Genomic DNA, 1981 nt, shown 5'->3' with positions numbered 1-1981 from the left:
GGAAACTACCACATACACCTCTATACAAACAAACTAGAAAACTCAGAAGAGATGGATAAATTCCTGGACACGTGCACCCTCTCAAGCCTGAGCCAGGAAGAAATTGATTCCCTGAACATACCAATAACGAGCTCTGAAATTGAACTGGTAACAAATAGCCTACCAACCAAAAATAAAAACAAAACAAAACAACAATAACAACAAAAACCCAGAACCTGATAAATTCACAGCTGAATTCTACTGGATGTACAAAGAACAGCTGATACCATTCCGAAAAACTGAGGAGGAGGGAGTTATCTCCAACTCTTCTAAAAGGCCAGCATCATCTTGATACCAAAACCTGGCAGAGACACAACAACAAAAAAAGAAATCTTCAGGCCAATATCCCTGATAAACACTGATGCAAAAATTCTTAACAGAATACTTGAAGACCGAATCTAGCAGCACAGCAAAAAGTTAATCCACTATAATCAAGTAGGCTTCATCCCTGGGATGCAAGGTTAGTTCAAAATACAAAAATCAATAAATGTGATTCATCACATAAACAGAACTAAAGACAAAAACCACATGATTACCTCAATAGATGCAGAAAAGGCTTTTGATAAAATTCAACATTCCTTCATGTTAAAAACTCTCAATAAACTAGGTATTGAAGGAACACATCTCAAAATAATAACAGCCCTCTGACAAACTCACAGCCAGCATTATACTGAATGGGCAAAAGCCGTAAGCATTCCCCTTGAAAAGGCGTGAGACAAGGATTCTCTCTCATCACTTCTATTCAACATAGTATTGGAAGTCCTATCCAGAGCAAACAAGCAACAGAAAGAAATAAAGAGCATCCAAATAGGAAGAAAGGAAGTCATATTATCTCAGTTTATAGATGACATGATTTCACGATTTTATATCTAGAAAACCCCATAGTCTTCACCCAAAAGTTCCTTCAGCTGGTAAATAACTTCAGCAAAGTTGTAGGATATAAAATCAATGTACAAAACTCTCTAGCATTCCTGTACAACACCAACAACCAAACTGAGAGCCAAATCAGGAGGAAATCCCATTCACAATTGCCACACACAAAAAATTAAATACCTAGGAGCTAACGAGGAAGGTAAAATATCTCTACAATGAGAATTACAAAAGACTGTTCAAAGAAATCAGAGAAGATACAAATAGAAAAACATCCTATTCTCATGGATAGGAGGAATCAAGTTCCTTGAAGAACTTGGCAAACTACTTTGTGGAGATTTTATTATATCAGTCCCCTTTGTTCTTGGAAAGAGCAGCAATTTGTCCTTACTGGAGTTGACATTTCTTCTGGCTCTGGTTTTGCTTTCCCCAACCATAGTGATTGCCATGGAATAAATTGTGCCCCACTCGTCAAATTCATATGTTGAAACCCTAATTCCCAATGTGACTGTATTTGGAGATTAAGCTTTTAGGAGTAATTTAGGTTAAGTGAAGTCATAAGGATGGGGCCCTAATATGGTGGGTTTGGTGGCCTTTATAAGAAGAGAACGAACTCTCTATTTCCTTCATGTGAGTACACAATGAGAAGGTGGTAATCTGCAAGCCAGGAAGAGAATCATCACCCGAAATTGATTCTGTTGGACTTCCATCTTGGATTTCTAAACTTCAGAACTATGAGAAAATAAATTTCTAATGTTTAAGTTGCCCAGTCCGTGGTATTAATTATGGTAACTCAAGCTGATGAATAGAGCACCTTCCAGAAACAATAAGAACTCACAACCATGTAACAAACCTGCATATGTTCCCACTGAATCTAAAATACAAAAAAAGACCTCACAAAATACTTATAATAAAAAAACATGATGTCAGATCAAATTTTATGGTAACAGAATAGCAACAGTAGACACAAAGCCAAGGTATCCATTGATTATACCCCACATTGCATCACTGGGAAGCAGCTGGCTTAGCAGGACGAAGGAATGGCCTATTAAATGTTCAGCTAGGGTACTAG

This window comes from Homo sapiens, chromosome 3, assembly GCF_000001405.40.
Source record: "Homo sapiens chromosome 3, GRCh38.p14 Primary Assembly".
In the NCBI taxonomy this organism is placed as follows: Eukaryota; Metazoa; Chordata; class Mammalia; order Primates; family Hominidae; genus Homo; species Homo sapiens.
This window is presented reverse-complemented; position numbering follows the sequence as displayed.